Consider the following 16,208-nt stretch of genomic DNA (forward strand, 5'->3'; position numbering starts at 1 on the left):
AAATTCTTCCCAATTTTCCTTTTCTACAGGCTCAAAAGGAAGCATAATTCCTTCCTAAATCCCAAACCTTGGGGGACCGATCATTGTAAGAGCTGTTCATGGTGTTTCTTTAGCGTAAGAAATTAGCTCAGCTTTCATGTGGGGAGTTTTTGCAAACACAGCGGATGTGATGTCTGATATTTCCGGGTATCCTACCATTCACCTCTAAAGACAGGTGATGCCGTGGCCCCCAGCTTTTCCCACATTGGCATATTCAGAGCTGAAAGGCTTCACCTAACACTTGGAATTTCAGGTTTCTAAGTTGTACATCCTTTTTGTTGACTGGTCTATAGTAGAAAAGGTCATTTTACATATTATTTGAATGATTTATTTTAGAATCGATTTAGAGTTACATATTTTTGAATAATTTAGAATAGCTTTAGTTACATATTACTTCACATATGCAAATATATCTTATTATTTTTTTTTTTTTTTTTTTTTTTGAGACAGAGTCTCGCTGTCGCCTAGGCTGGAGTGCAGTGGCGCGATCTCTGCTCACTGCAAGCTCTGCCTCCCGGGTTCACACCATTCTCCTGTCTCAGCCTCCCGAGTAGCTGGGACTACAGGCGCCCGCCACCTCGCCCGGCTAATTTTTTGTATTTTTAGTAGAGACGGGGTTTCACCGTGTTAGCCAGGATGGTCTCGATCTCCTGACCTCATGATCCACCCGCCTCGGCCTCCCAAAGTGCTGGGATTACAGGCGTGAGCCACCGCGCCCGGCCTATATTATTTTTATATATTCACTGCTGACAAGTCCAAGAAGCAAAATCCTACTCATTTGTTTGTAACTTTCAGTTAAAAGAAAAAATTAAGGTAAAAGTTACCTGAGTGTGGTTTCCACCGTGATGGTAGGCTACCAATTTTAATCCGACCTACGTTTAAAACACTTTACAGCGTCAGCAGAGCAAAGTGTTTCCAGAACACTCCAATTTTTAATTAGTCTCCATGGCCAAGGAGGTAGTATCTACATACTTCTAGTTAATTTTAGTTAAATAAGGGATTTAAAAGCATTTGATTTTGCAACTGAGACAAAATATGAAGGCAAAGTGCAAGCTTATTATAAAATGAAAATAATATTATAAAACAAAACCTTCCAGGTGTTGGATTGTCTAGCAAGTTCTACCGTGGGTGCTGGCCCCTGGCATTGGTTCCCCTCCACAGGGCCAAGGGCATAGCTGGGTGCAGAGACCGGCAGTGCCGTGGTCTCTGGAGTCTGAGGACATAAGTTAAACAAGCTAGTCAAGCCCCAGATGCTTGGGAGGCAGAGGCAGGAGGATTCCTTGAGCCCAGGAGATCGAATCTAGCCTGATCAACATATTCTCTATGACAAAAGAACAAGAAGAAGAAGAAGCTGGTGGTTTCTCACCATAACCTTTTCTTGTGGAATTCTGCCTCAGCTCTTCTGGGAACAGTGAGTGCGTGTTTTATTTAGTAGGATTGCATTTTTCTAAACTGGCTGCAAACCTGCCTCCTCCATCCAAGCTCTGCCAGCAATAATCATTTCCAGGGATCCAAGTGGCTTTAAAATGCAAGTTAGAAATGGGAGGGGTGGTGATCTCCTCAGTAATATGAATTATTGGAGTATAAAAGATAACTAAATTTTAACCAAAATATTGAAAGTGTTAATGCTGTTGTTATCAGATAGAATAAACTGTTACAAACGCAGCCTCCACTCAGAATGGATCGGACTTGTCACTTGGGCCTGAACAGACCTAATTGATCATTTTTCATGACTGCTGCCAGCCCACAGTAGAATACCGCAGTTGTTAATATTTCTAATTGGGTAGGATGCTACATGGAATGTATTTTGTTTTATATATTAAATTACTAAAATTCTATATAAAATACAGAAAGTTAAGATTAGAAAGCCTTCTTACAGCACAACGAATATTTATTTAATGGCTATACTGTTCCTGTGGTTGAAGTCCCATGTATTTAGTATGTCTAAGTTATGGGCGACTCTGGATCTCCAAAGGCAAATTAGTCATGGAAGAATCTTTAGTTTTGGAAAATCACTATGTTGCTTCTCAAAAAGTATACTAGTTACGACAAGGTAGTATTTAGTGTCTTTTACATCAACATTGAGGCTGGCACGGTGGCTCACGCCTATAATCCCGGCTCTTAAGGAGGCTGATGCAGGTGGATCACCTGAGGTCAGGAGTTTAAGGCCAGCCTGGCCAACATGGTAAAACCCCATCTCTACTAAAAATACAAAAATCAGCCAGGCGTGTTGGTGTGCGCCTATAATCCCAGCTACTCGGGAGGCTGAGGCAGGAGAATTGCTTGAACCCGGGAGGTGGAGATTGCAGTGAGCCAAGATCGTGTCACTGCTCTCCAGCCTGGGCAATAGAGCAAGACTCCGTCTAAAAAAAAAAAAAAAAAAAGATTAAAGTAAAATACTTTTATTGTCTGTTTTCATTTGTATTTTGATATTGTATCTGGTTCTCTATGTTAATGGAATGAAGAAGTACTCATGTAGTTCATTTACAACCTGAAATTAAATTTTAATAAGTATCAGCTTGAAACTAAGTTTATTTTTAAAACTTTTGCTAAGATAGTCTCTTGTGTTCATTTAGTTATCTAAATGCATCTTCAGAGTTAGCCTGGGCTTCTGGGAGTTCTAGATAGATCTTTGAATGTTGTCATTTTAAGATATCTTCCAGTATAGAGAGCTATATGATAAAAATATATTTCTGGCCGGGCGTGGTGGCCCACGCCTATAATCCCAGCACTTTGGGAGGCTGAGGCAGACGGATCATGAGGTTGAGACCATCCTGGCTAACACGGTGAAACCCCGTCTCTACTAAAAATACAAAAAATTAGCCGGGCGTGGTGGTGCCTATAGTCCCAGCTGCTCAGGAAGCTGAGGCAGGAGAATGGCGTGAACCCGGGAGGCGGTGCTTGCAGTGAGCCAAGATCGCGCCACTGCACTCCATCCTGGGCAACAGAGTGAGACTCCGTCTCAAAAAAAAACATTTTATATATATATATATATATATATATATATAATTCTTTGTAGAAATTAGCTCCCTAAATACTTGGGGTTGGTGAAGGAGACTGGGGATTTGGAAGACTTTTCTTAGGAGTCTTGTTTAGCATTCAGAAGGGACTCAGGCCACACTGGGTTTCTATTTTAGGTTGAAAGTTGTGGCTCCTCACTGCCCTTTTTACCCACAATAAATTGCATAGCAAATCCGTAAAAGCGATGACTCATCTCCTAATCCTGCCCCTTAAAGGGGGAAACCAGATGCTTGCAGTTCCCCAAGTGGTAGTGTTGATCATGCCAAGGTGAGGACCGTCGTTCCATCCCTTGCAAAGTGAATCAAAGTGAATTGTAGCCAAACACAGATAAGACCAGAGGGTGTCTGCACTGAGCAGTCCAGGAAGGAGGGGAGCTGCAGTGGCTGTCACCGGGCTGGGACACGAGGAGGAATTGCAGGTGAAATCAGATCCAGTTTCAACTTGAGGAAAATTCAGCCCCGGGAGCTGCTGGTAGAGCCCAGACCTTGATGCTGAGTCATCTGCACAGAGAATTCCGTGACAGAAAGGCCGTGGGTAGAGACGTGAATGGAGGAAGTGGAGTAGATGAAATGGTTAAATGTTGGAGAAAAGAGGCTATTTATGAATATGACCACTGTCATTCAGATAAAATTTCTGGACTGTTATCATTGAAAAAAGTCTCATTATGTTTCTATTTGAAAGCAAACCATTATGCTTTTTTGAGGAAAAAAAAAAACTGTGAGTCACGTTATGCTTGCAAGTGTTTAATTCAGACCATTTCATCTTTAAGAAGGCCCCTGGTCACATTATACGGATGATTTGCTTATTAAATGGAACTCCTGTTTCTTGCACCATGTTGTGGGGTCAATATGAGAAGCCTAATTAACAGAATAAAAAGCATTAAAGCTTCTTTAGCTAAAGTCAAACTTAGAGAATTGTCTAATGGTATGTAGCCCCTCGTTCTAAGATGGGCGTTTTCCCCAGATAACTTGAAAATCTACTGGTAACAGCCACTTCCCTTTAAAGAATTCTATTACTAATAGCCATGACAAAATGGTATTGTATTTCAAAGTTAAGAATTTGCAGGCCTTAAAAACTAACTTATTTTTCCTGATTATTGAGTTTATTGTAGAATTCTACGTGTAAGCATTCCCCAGCCGCTATAGCTTTGAATAAGCAGAGCTTTTTTCAGAGTTCTGGTAGCGCCCAGCCCAGCACCTTTTATTCTGAATGTGAAGTGTGTGCCTCCGTGTCACAGAGTCACAGCCTCCCCAGGGACGCTGCGCGCGGAGCCCTGTCAGAGCAGCGCGTCAGTGACAGCGGCAGCCGAGCCAGGAAGTTATCAGGCAGCCTCGACCACCACCAGATTTGACTCCGCGAGCTCTTTTGAGGGAAAACCTGGTAAAACGTCAAGGTGTCTAACTGACCTCGCCTTTATCATCTGTTCTGTAAATCTTAGGAAAGGTCTGGGAAAAAATCAAAACGATTCTGTCCGTTAAAGGGCAGCCACTCCTGGCCCTCCAGGATGCCGGGGTCTGAGTGATCCCGAGCTGATCTGCAGAAGCACAGCCTGTGGCATTTGCGGTTTATTGTCATGAAAATGATTCAACGTAGAACTTTTTCAAATGGCAAAATCAAACCGCTCTTCTTTATATTGTTTTTGAATGAGTTGTCATGGAAACAAAATGGAAATAAATGGTGTTTTTTTTCCAGATTTGTGCTCATTGCAGGTCTTCCCAAAATAGTAGCTTTACTGAATGAACAAAGAACTAAAATGAAGGTCCCAAACTCATCGCTAAGGGGCCTCCACTAAAGAGCATCACCCCTGGAGGGGCGCGGGTCTCAGGGTCCTTGGCCGCGTGTGGATTATGTCACCACAGGAGAGGGACGAGTCCTTTCCAGGCACATGAGGAGGAGGAATCAGTGTTAATGGGTGGCTTTGCATCTGTGAAATCGCATAAACTTAAGTTAGCTGAAGCTGTCGTGAGACTGGCATTTCCAAATTGGATTGAAGGTTTCAGGCTTCATGCCAGCGCACCACAGCCTGTTCCTGAGTATCTGTGCTGAGAGGCTGTAAGATTAGTGTGAACAGGAGAAATTTCCAGGTAGGCCTCTAGCTTCATTACCGTTGGGTTTCTTACTGCCGGTATTCAGACAGGTAGACATGACTCGCTGGAGTTTGATTGCCTTTTCTTACCTCATGTTGGTAGAAACATCAATGAGCTGAAATGTATAGGGAGATAAAATGGGCAGAGGCAGGAGGAAGGAAGAGGAAGCGCCAGCCTGAGGTGGTCATGAACTGCATACTCAGACCGTGGCTCATGGGGAATTGGTTGCCATTGACCACGTGAAGCAGCTCCAGCCTCCACGCCAGTTGCATGTTGGTTAAAAGTTTGTCCTTGGTGCGATAAGTGTGTGGAACGGGAGAGAGACCATCTCTGCCTCTGAGATTGGATTCGGGTTTCAGTTCGTTGTCGGTAAAGTAGTGAAGTGTGGCAGGGGTTCTCTGAAGCCTCAGGGTCTACACAGGCACCACCCTGAGGAGCAGCCTCTGCAGACGGGGCCTGATCTCTGCCAGGGCAGTAGGAAGCATGACACGTCCCGCCAGCCAGGCCACAGAGCTGAACACTGCCTCCTCCCCTGTCCAGGTCCCGCTCCCGGTCCCCTCGGAGGAGAGCCCACTCCCCTGAGAGACGGAGGGAAGAGAGGAGTGTGCCCACTGCCTACCGCGTGAGCCGCAGCCCTGGGGCCAGTAGGAAGCGGACCCGCTCCAGGTAGGCCACTGGGTGTGCACGCAGGTGCTGGATGTGGGCCAGGTTTCCCTGGGTGGAAAGGGCGTCTGAAGGTCGGGTATCTGTGAGCAGAGCTGTGGATGACCAGAGGGAGGTGCTGAGTCCCCCACCACCCCCCCACCCCCAGTGGCATGGCCATCACTGTTGACACTTGATCACACTGAGCTCCTGTGTCTGGTGGGCGGGGGTCACTTACCCACCGGGGCTCTGCACGGCCTGGCTTCGTGTCCAGCTTTCCACTGTGCTGGTACCTCGGCTGGGTCCACATGCAGCTGCTGCCCCTCTACCTGCTGGTGGAGAGGACAGGAAGGCACAAACAGAAGGAAAATGCAAGCTTCCGGTCCTAAAGCCTCCTGGTCTCAAGGGCAGTCACTGTGGTTGCCTGGCTGCTGTGTGACGGTGACTACGGCCCAGGCTGGAGCTCCCAGGAGAGGCCACAGAGTCCTGTTGGGGCCTAGAGGGCAGGGAGCATCCATCGCTTACCTCTTGACCACTAAGGAGAGCCTGTCTTGGTTGGAGCAGGAGATGGAGGGAGGTTAGCATTCATGTTCATCAAGTAGAAGCCCCAGCCGTGGTGCCTGGCAGGGCCTCTGACAGCCCAGGGTGCCACGGGCTCACCCCTCACTCAGTGCCTGGCACTCAGTAGAGGTTCCACCTTTCACTTCAGGAAATAGGTCCACCATCTGTCCGCTCACCCCGGCTTCCAGTAGCTGTGGACGGCCACCTCCATTGGTGCCGCCAGTGAGCACTACCCTCTCGGCCGTGGGGGTGCCATCTCACGAGCGCCTCCTCTGGTTCTCACCCACTGATGTCACCACCCAGTGCCTTGCGTGGGGCAGCCGTGCATTTCCACTCTTTCCAAGCACAAGGAGCTTGTTTTGTGTCCCCATGTGGAGTTCGTGCAGCCTCCTGGCTGTGTGGGTGGACCGTGTCTGCGTCTGGAGCTACACAGAGAAGGATGGAGCATTGCACATCGTAGCCTTGAGCTTCATAACACGGCACTGCTAAGTGCATGGGGGTCAGGACACTCAGGGTCCCAGAGCCTTCCAGAGGACGAGCCTTACATTGCCAGGATCACCCACACACTGGGACCCTCCTGCTCCTGGGACGGATGGTCCCAGCCATCACCCACACTGCCTAGCCACAAGGCACACACTAGGCAGAGAGCCACAGCAGGTCCTCCCCACAGCACCCTGGGCAAGAAGACCGTGCTGCGGTTGGCCTAGTACCACGGTTCCCTCCGTTGACAAGATGTGATTTTTTTCTTAAAACAGAAAAATTAGCAAAGGAACTATAAAGCGGATAGATACCAGCAATGTTTCATGTACACCTGGCTCTGTTTATAAATTACATTTTGTTCCTTAGTAATCCTACACTGAGCATTCATGTCTGCTCTCATACAATCTGATGAAAATTAAAATGTTAGCATCCATCCCTTAAACAAGTAATTTCACATCAGAAATTCACCATCACCTTTGGTATATGTGAAGGGCATGGTTAGAAATTAATTCCGTCTCAACAGAAGAGGCCTTGCTTTGCCTTCACATTAACCTTTGCTTTAAGAGAGACCTCGTGTGAGCAAGTAGTGATTGTATCTGGAAGTAGCAGCGTCCTGATGGCCAGCCAGCACACTCAGACGCCAGACTCGCGTGACCTGCTGACATTCTCACCGAGCACTAACAGGTCACACAAGAGAAGCAAAGGGTTAGACTCAGTGCAGTGCTGAGCCCTGAGCTGCCGTGCCCAGACAGACGGAATTAAACCTGCAAACCAAAGTCTGCGGAGTGTTAAACTGTGATTCACTAGGAACTCAATAGAGGTGAATACGTGTGTAATTACTGGTTAATTTTGTATTCTTAATTACAAGCCCCCAGTTAGTCTATAAATCCAGAATATGGGTTTGGTTTTGTTTTCTTTTGGGGGCGTTTTTTTTTTTTGAGACAGGGTCTCACCCTGTTTCCCAGGCTGGAGTGCAGTGGCGTAATCACAGCTCACTGCAGCTTCTACCTCCTGGGCTCAAGCCATCCTCCCACCTCAGCCTCCTGAGTTGCTGGGGCCACAGGCTGTCACCACCATGCCTGGCTGGCTGCTCTCAAGCTCCTGGCCTCGAGTGATCAACCTGCCTCAACCTCCAAAAGTACTGGGATTGCAGACATGAGCTCCCATGCCTGGTACAGAATATGTTTTATTAGCAATCATTATATTAATCCTACAGCCAGCCCGTGTCCCTGTCTCAGAGCGGGCGTCCACTTCCTTGCTGTGGCTTAGTGCACATAATTCAGCTACCAAGTTGCTGTCACTTTAATGCTGTGACAGCACCAGACCAAACCCAGGGAAATGCCCACTACCGAGATTTGCTGCTTTTTTTCTTTTTCTTTTTTATTTTTATTTGAGATAGGGTCTCACTCCCATTGCGCTGGCTGGAGTGCAGTGGCACAATCTCAGCTCACTGCGGCCTCAACCTCCTGGGTTCAACTCGTCCTCCCACCTCAGCCTCCTGTGTAGCTGAGACTACAGGCACATGGAACCATGCCCAGCTAATTTTTTGTATTTTTAGTAGAGACAGGGTTTTGCCATGTTGCCCAGGATGGTCTCAAAATCCTGAGCTCAAGCAGTCTGCCTATCTCAGCCTCCCAAAGTGCTGGCATAAACCACCATGCCCGGCCCTGAAGGGTCATTTCTGTAAACTGATTATTGCCTGATTCTTTCACTGACTTCTCACTTGGAAACTTTTTTAACTTATAGGCAAGTTTTTAAAATAGTACAATGGGGCCAGATTCAGTAGCTCACACCTATAATCCCAGCACTTGGAGGCCAAGATAGCAGGATCACTTGAGCTCAGGAGTTGGAGGCTGTAGTGTGGGCTGTGATCGTGCCTGTGAATAGCCACTGCACCCCCCACCTGGGTAACAGAGTGAAACCCTCTCTTTCAAAAAAAAGTGTACAATAAACACCCATATGCATAAAATCTGTAGCTCAGTTCCACAAGAGCTGACATTTTGCCACATTGCTCTCTCTCACCCCTTCCCATCCCGCCCATCCCATCCACTCCCCTCCCTCCCTCCTCCGTTCGTGTGTGTATTTCATGACCTTGGCATTCCTGAGAATTCCAGGCCAGCTCCACTATAGATGGTCCCACAGTTGGGCTTCGTCTTGCTGTGTCCCCGTGGCTGGGTTCAGGGCAAATGTTTTGGCTGCGTAGGCGACATTGCGTAGCTTCCCATTGCATCACAGATCAGGACACACAGAAGTGTCCATTTGTCCCATCATTCATGATGCTAAGTTTGACCACTTGATTAAGTCTGCATCTGCCCCTTCGTCTCCCCACCAGCGAGGAATCCAGGAGGTGACACTGAAGCAGCGCGGCTCTCCTGCTCCCAGCAGCTGTCTTCTCATTTGTCTCAGCATCCCTGGGTGACCCCTGCCTGAATCAGTTCTTACACTGCTGACTGCAAAATAGTGACTTTCCCCCTCTCTTCTTCCTTCTGTGTTTATGCTGAAGACCCTGCCCCTTTGTTTAAATCTCACCGTGGACTCAGGAGCATTTTTGGTTTTGATTTTTTATTTGTTGTGTGATAATCCATTGCTATTATTATTCTATTAGATGGTGACATTGTCTCCAGTTTGGCCAGTGGCAACCCTTCCAAGTCAGTTCTGTTCTTTTGACACCTCCCATAGTTCTTTGCATTCTTGCGTTTGGTACAAGATGTTCCAGGTTTACTGGGCATTTTCCCTGCTCCAGCCCTGGAATCTACCATTTCTTCAAGGACCTCTGGTTCCTTTTAGTGAATATTTGAAAATCCAGATGTGGACGTATGAGGAATTTTTAGGAGTAAAATTTGGTACAGTGTGGAAATATATAAAACAACATTCATGAAAGTTATTTTGAGTATGTCATAAAAGTGTTTTTCAGCCAGGCACAATGGCGGGCACCTACAGCCGCAGCTACTTGGAGGGCTGAGTGGATCTCTTGAGCCTAGGAGTTCACATCCAGGGCTTTTCACAAGAATATTGACCAAATCTTCTGGTAGCACACTTCAACAAGATGTCCCGGTTATCTTATTGTAGCAAATACAATGAATGATTAGTTACAAGTTTTTCCCATTGAGTTTCTAGTACTTAACACTGCACGAGGCACATGGACAACTGTTTGTTGAGTGAGTGAATGGGAGTTCACTGCTGCAGTAAAGATCTGCCTTTATACATGAAATGTTAATTCCAGGTAGACTTTGCTAAGCGAAGGATGCATAACCTAATTCCCTAGAGCAACCACTAAAAACAAAAATGTAGCTAAAAAGCCAATAGCAGATATAAAGTAGGATTCTAGATGCTTTCTTAAATTCATGAAACAGCAGAAAAGGGCAGGTGGGGGAAAGAACAAATGGGACAAATAAAAACAAGATTGTAGACTTAAAACCATCTGTAAAATAATTACATTAAATGTAAGAAGACTAAAGACTAGTTAAAAGGCAGTGATTGTGGAGTGGATTAAAGAGCAAGACCTGGCCTGGCGCGGTGGCTCATACCTGTAATCTCAGCACTTCAGGAGGCCAAGGCAGGTGGATCACCTGGGGTCAGGAGTTCAAGACCAGCCTGGCCAACATGGTGAAACCCCGTCACTACTAAAAATATAAAAATTAGGTGTGGTGGCAAGTGCCTGTAATCCCAGCTACTCGGGAGGCTGAGGCAGGAGAATTGCTTGAACCTGGGAGGCGGAGGCTGCAGTGAGCCAAGATCGTGCCACTGCACTCCAGCCTGGGTGACAAAGTGAGACTCTATCTCAAAGAAAAATAAACGAAACTTTTCCACCAAACTCCAGTCCCAGATGGCTTCACCAGTGAATTCTAACATTCAAGAAAGGAGGGGCCAGGCACGATGGTTCACATCTGTAATCCCAGCACTTCAGGAGGCTGAGGCAGGTGGATCACGAGGTCAGGAGTTTGAGACCAGTCTGGCCAACATAGTGAAACTCTGTCTCTACTATAAGTACAAAAAATTAACCGGGTGTGGTAGTGTGCGTCTGTAATCCCAGCTACCTGGGAGGCTGAGGCAGGAGAATAACTTGAACTCGGGAGGCGGAGGTTGCAGTGAGCCAAGATTGCGTTCCAGCCCGCGACAGTGCAAGACTCCGTCTCAAAAAACAAAAAGAAAGAAAGAAGGGATACTCTTTTTTAAAAAATAGATGAAGGAACACTTCCCATCTCATCTCTTGAGTCCATCATAACTCTCATACCTAAGCCAGATAAGGATTCTGTGTTTGGGGGAGGGGGTGTGCACATGCACCCTTGTCTGTTCACAGATCAGTACTGTGTGCACCCGTGTGTGTTCACGGATCAGTACTGTGTGCACACGTGTGTGTTCACTGGTCATTACTGTGTGTGCACCCGTGTGTGTGCACAGACCAGTACAGTGTGTGCACTCGTGTGTGTTCACGGATCAGTACTGTGTGTGTGCACGTGTGTGTTCACGGATCATTACTGTGTGTGCGCCCATGTGTGTTCACGGATCAGTACTGTGTGTGTGCACGTGTGTGTTCACGGATCGTTACTGTGTGTGCACCCGTGTGTGTTCACAGATCATTACTGTGTGTGCGCCCGTGTGTGTTCACGGATCATTACTGTGTGTGCGCCCGTGTGTGTTCACAGACCAGTACTGTGTGTGCATATGTGTGTATTCACAGATCAGTACTGTGTGTGCACCCGTGTGTGTTCACAGACCAGTACTGTGTGTGCATATGTGTGTGTTCACAGATCAGTACTGTGTGTGCGCCCGTGTGTGTTCACAGATCAGTACTGGTGTGCATGTGTGTGCTCACAGACCAGTACTGTGTGTGCATATGTGTGTGTTCACAGATCAGTACTGTGTGTGCACCCGTGTGTGTTCACAGACCAGTACTGTGTGTGCATACGTGTGTGTTCACAGATCAGTACTGTGTGTGCGCCCGTGTGTGTTCACAGATCAGTACTGGTGTGCATGCGTGTTAACAGACCAGTGCTGTGTGTGCACATGTGTGTTCACAGATCAGTACTGGTGCACATGCATGTGTGTTCACAGACCAGTGCTGTGTGTGCCCATAAGTATATGTTCACAGACCAGGACTCTCAAGAACATAGATGCAAAAATACTTCACAAAATATTAGCCAACTAAGTATTACTGAGACTCCTGTTCTCCACAAGTTGACGCAGAGATGCAGTGCAGTCCCACTCAGAGCTCCCACGGCTTTTCTAGAAATTGGCACACAAACTCCAAAGCGTGTGTGGAAATGCAGATGACCTGGGAGACCCAAAACAACCTCCTTGACAAAGAGCAGGATTTCAAGACTTACCAGAAAGCTACAGTAACCAAGGCAGTGTGGTGTCAGCATGAGGATACAATAGAGCAGTGGGATGGAATAGAAAGTACAGAAAAAAAATTCCATACCCAAAGGGCAGGGGGCCGGGACCACAGCCACAGCGATTCAGTGAGGAAAAAGAGAAAGGAAAGTCTTTTTTTTTTTTGAGACAGGGTCTCACTCTGTTGCCCAAGCTGGAGTGCAGCAGTGGTGTGATCTCGACTCAGCCCGGCTGACTGCAGCCTCCTGGGCTCAAGGAATCCTCCCACCTCAGCTGGGACCACAGGCACACACCACCATGCCCAGCTAATTTTTTTTTATTGTGTGTAGAGACAGGGTCTCGCTATGTTGCCCAGGCTGATGTTGAACTCCCAGGCTCAAGCAGTCCTCCTACCTTGGCCTCCGAAAATGCTGTGACTGCAGGCATGAGCCACAGCACCCAGCCAGGAAACTCTTTCCAACAAAACTTGCATGAACAGCTGGATATCGGAATGGGGAAAAAGTGCACTGCATGCTGTATGCAAAATTTAATTCAGGGCGGATCAGAGATCTAAACAAAAACTAGAACCATTAAGCTTTTTGAAGAAAACACAGAATATGTTCATGAATTTGAGGGTGGCAAAGATTCCTTAAGATGTAGAAACTCCTCTGATAAGAGGAAAAAACCAATTAGACTTCATTGAAGTTTAAAAACTTCTCTCAAAAGGCACAGTTAAGAAGATGAATAGGCAGGCCGCAGGCTTTGCTGCATGTGTCTCTGACAAAAGCCTGTGTCAGTACCAAAAAGACAAAGGACCCAATTAGAAGGGGGCAGATGAAGCCAGCCGACTTGACAGAAGGATCTCTTAAATAGCCGGTACACACATGGAAAGATGTGGAACGGCATGAGTCACCAGTCAGGGACGTGCTGATGCAACCAACGAGACAGGACTAGACGGGGGTCACCCGTCCCTAAAAACCAGGACGGGCTCGGGGGAGAGTGGGCACGGGCCCAGCGGCTGCGCTCTCAGACACTGGATTGGGAAACGTGTGCAGTTTCTTGTGACGTTAAGTACACACCTACTCCCTGACCAGCTGTCCTGTTCCTAGCTGTGAACTCCTCTATAAAGTCAACATTTAACCAAAAACACTTTGATTCATAATTACCGAAAACTGGAAACAACCAAATCTCTATTAACAGGAGAATGAATCAACAGATAATGGTAGCGTCCTGTCCTGTAATACTATTCATCGGTAAAAGGAACAAATTGAGGATCACCCTGCGTCGTGGAGGAGTCTCAGACATGCTTTGCTGAGCAAAAGCAGCCAGACACAGGCCAGCCACAGTGGCTCACACCTGTGATCCCAGCACTTTGGGAGGCCAAGGCAGGAGGATTGCTTGAGCCCAGGATTTGCAGGCTTTTTTTTTTTTTGGTAGAGACCCCCATCTCTACTTAAAAAAAAAAAAAATTAGCCATTTGTGGTGGCGTCTGCCTGTCGTCCCAGCTACTTGGGAGGCTGAGGCAAGAGGATCACTGGAGCCTGGGAGGTCAAGGCTACAGTGAGCAGGGATTATGCCCCTGCACTCCAGTTTGGGCAACAGAGGGAAACTGAGAAACAAACAACAGAAAACCAAGAAGCCAAACCAACAAACAAACACAGACATAGCGTGGGGTTTGTCTACATAGAGCTTTAAGCTGTGTCCTAGAAACCAGAGCAGTGGGGAACGCTGAGGGTGGAGAAGGGGTATAGACGGACTTGAAGTGGCATTGAGGAGCCTTCTGGAATGAAGGGACGCCCCTGCGTGGATAAGGCCCAGGTGTCAGGGTGTGCGCACTTGCCAAGCTCAGCGGCAGCACCGAGGACAGCGTTTCACCCAATGGACAGTGGCACCTCGGTGCTTTAAAAAAAAATGAATGAGTTGCTCCATTCCTTCAGCAAGGGCTTAGATCAGATTGTAGCAGAATTGAACCAGTTTGCAGTTAAGGATTAGTAACCTGCCTTTTGTTCATTATGCAGCCACATAAACTCAGCTGGATTTGGGGAGTAAGTCATTTTGGACACATGTCACATGCTGGTATATGTTTTATTTATTTGCCGCTTCCTTTGAAATCCTGGCATGTGTTTACAGACAACAATTTCACAAAACATTTTGCAGTTTAGAAAAATGACTCTTTCGTGCAGGTCCCACATGCGTGTGTTGAACAGTAAACAACATGTTGTCCTCACTGGGCACGTCAGGCAGGCTTCCAGAAGATGCCAAGTCATCTGCCCGGGCCCAGCTCACCAGGGACAGCCCCTCCAGCAGCTGGATTTAAGCTGCCAGCGAGCACCGTCTCTGGCAGGTCCCGCCTTGTTTGAATGGAGCTGGGTGGGAGCGCCACAGGTCTGGCGCTGCTGCTTAGGTCACTTCACTGGCACCAACACAGTCTGCTCACGCCCAGAACCACACAAGGGAGCCCGGACAGAAACGCTCAGTCCCCCCCTGCATATCGGGGCTGTCCCTACCAGGGCATGCTGTGGTCCCTGGCTACCGCAGCTCTGTCTAAGTTCTGCAGGGCCAGACACTGGTGAGGTCCTAGAGATGGGTAGAGGGCACAGCCCCTCGATGGGGTCTGCACCCCAGACTCTGAGCACAGCCCCAGCCATTAAGCAAGAATGTCCCAGATATCGGGGGGTGGCACAAGAAATGCATGAAGTCCGGAGGCCCTGATGAGGGGCAGGGCTTGGGGTAACTGGGCCTGTGCACAGGCCCTGGAGGTCTCCCTGGAAGGCAGAGGAGGCCAGGCTGGGAAGGGGCTTCGTGGCACGCAGAATCATAAGGGAGGCCAGACGCTTGCAGCTGTGCAAATAGCAACCCCAGGAGAGAGTCAGACACCAGCAGAGAACCACGGTTCCCCCTTCAGGTTGGCACATTGAGCAGTTTGGGTCCACCTGGATAACGAGCGTGAGGCTGAGCCAGGGAGTCCCCCTGGCAGCTTCTGCAGCAGAGGGCCCCGCAGCCCTACTCCTGGGATCTGTCCTGCCCAGGCACCAGCAAGCAGGACGGGAGGGGAGGGATAGGGGAGGGGAGGGGAGAGGGGGAGGGGAGGGGAGGGGAGAGGGGGAGGGGAGGGGAGGGGAGCGGAGAGGGGGAGGGGAGGGGAGGGAAGGAAGGAAGGAAGGAAATCAGTGATGCAAATGACCCATGCAAAGACTCTCCAAGAAACACTGTACTCAGGGCCAGAAGCGCAGGCTGCAGCGTCTGTTACAGACGAATTCTGAAAGAAGATGCCAGGTAGGGCACCTCAGGGCCTGGAGGGCCTCACAGGAAGGGCTCAGGCCTGTCTGCCTTTACCAAGTACATGTTCACTCTCTTAGGTGTTTGTAGGGGAGTGGCCAAGACAGCCACGTGGCTCAGGTGTGGAATGAAGCTAGACCAGGTGGAAGCCGAAGGGTCGGCCTCTCCAGGCAGGAGAGAAGGATGATCTAAGGGCAGGTGCAGGCCAGAATGTCTGGAAAGCATTTCTGGTGCGGGATTGCCAGTTTGGTGACGTGGACTCTGGGAAGCAAGGGGACAGGGGACAGCAGTCAGAGCTGAGCTGCTGCCCACAGAGCAGGCTCCACTGCCCAGAGGCTAAGCGGTATCACCAAGCGGCGGACAACTGGCAGGTCAGGAAGAAGTGCCACTCCAGCCTGGACAACAGAGTGAGACCCCATCTCTTAAGAAAAAGGAAGAAGCAGCACCAGAAGCTGCGCCCCCTAGTCTTAACTGTCTGGGAGGCTGAGGCAGGAGGTTGCTTGAGGTCAGGAGGTGAAGGCTGCAGTGAGCTGTAATGGCACCACTGCACTCCAGCCTGGACAGCAGCACGAGACCTTGTCTGTTTTTTCAAAAAAAAGGAACACTAAACTTTGATGTATTGATACTTTAATAAATTTCCTGTATCTTTTTGGAAATTTTTATTGATGAAACATAAGTGGCAAAGCACTATGAACTGCCTGTGGTGGCTTATCTTAGGTATTTTACATGTAAATAAAATGCTGGTTGCATCTTAAATACCACAAATATTTTACTTGAGGTCCTAAA

At 48.1% G+C, this 16,208-nt stretch overlaps 1 protein-coding gene across 8 annotated transcripts in view, besides 3 other annotated features; it reads left to right on the forward strand.

Moving 5' to 3' along the window:
- Positions 1-16,208, forward strand: part of SFSWAP (splicing factor SWAP) — an 88,649-nt gene that overhangs the window by 69,686 nt on the left and 2,755 nt on the right. For 4 of the 8 annotated variants that reach the window (XM_024449125.1, XM_047429328.1, NM_001261411.2 and 1 more), the window contains 2 exons: positions 4,298-4,453; positions 5,688-5,813. In XM_024449125.1, coding sequence (XP_024304893.1) covers positions 4,298-4,453; positions 5,688-5,813 — 282 coding nt within the window. Of the gene's footprint in view, positions 1-29; positions 2,554-4,297; positions 4,454-5,687; positions 5,814-16,208 lie in introns of those variants that run through there. The other 4 variants (XM_047429327.1, NM_004592.4, XM_017019798.1 and 1 more) reach the window with 2 other exon arrangements.
- Positions 3,932-5,131: an enhancer, noted in NCBI's record as "CDK7 strongly-dependent group 2 enhancer chr12:132269252-132270451 (GRCh37/hg19 assembly coordinates)". NCBI's record gives its function as "activates an origin of replication core promoter dependent on BRD2, BRD4, P300/CBP, MED14 and CDK7 cofactors, with strong dependence on CDK7, by STARR-seq in HCT116 cells {active_cell/tissue: HCT116}" and the evidence as "EXISTENCE:reporter gene assay evidence [ECO:0000049][PMID:35650434]".
- Positions 6,587-7,087: an enhancer, noted in NCBI's record as "H3K4me1 hESC enhancer chr12:132271907-132272407 (GRCh37/hg19 assembly coordinates)". NCBI's record gives its function as "activates a minimal SCP1, AML or CMV promoter by ChIP-STARR-seq in primed H9 embryonic stem cells {active_cell/tissue: H9 hESC(primed)}" and the evidence as "EXISTENCE:reporter gene assay evidence [ECO:0000049][PMID:30033119]".
- Positions 14,996-15,818: an enhancer, noted in NCBI's record as "H3K27ac-H3K4me1 hESC enhancer chr12:132280316-132281138 (GRCh37/hg19 assembly coordinates)". NCBI's record gives its function as "activates a minimal SCP1, AML or CMV promoter by ChIP-STARR-seq in naive H9 embryonic stem cells {active_cell/tissue: H9 hESC(naive)}" and the evidence as "EXISTENCE:reporter gene assay evidence [ECO:0000049][PMID:30033119]".

Source organism: Homo sapiens, chromosome 12 (genome assembly GCF_000001405.40).
Source record: "Homo sapiens chromosome 12, GRCh38.p14 Primary Assembly".
NCBI lineage: Eukaryota > Metazoa > Chordata > Mammalia > Primates > Hominidae > Homo > Homo sapiens.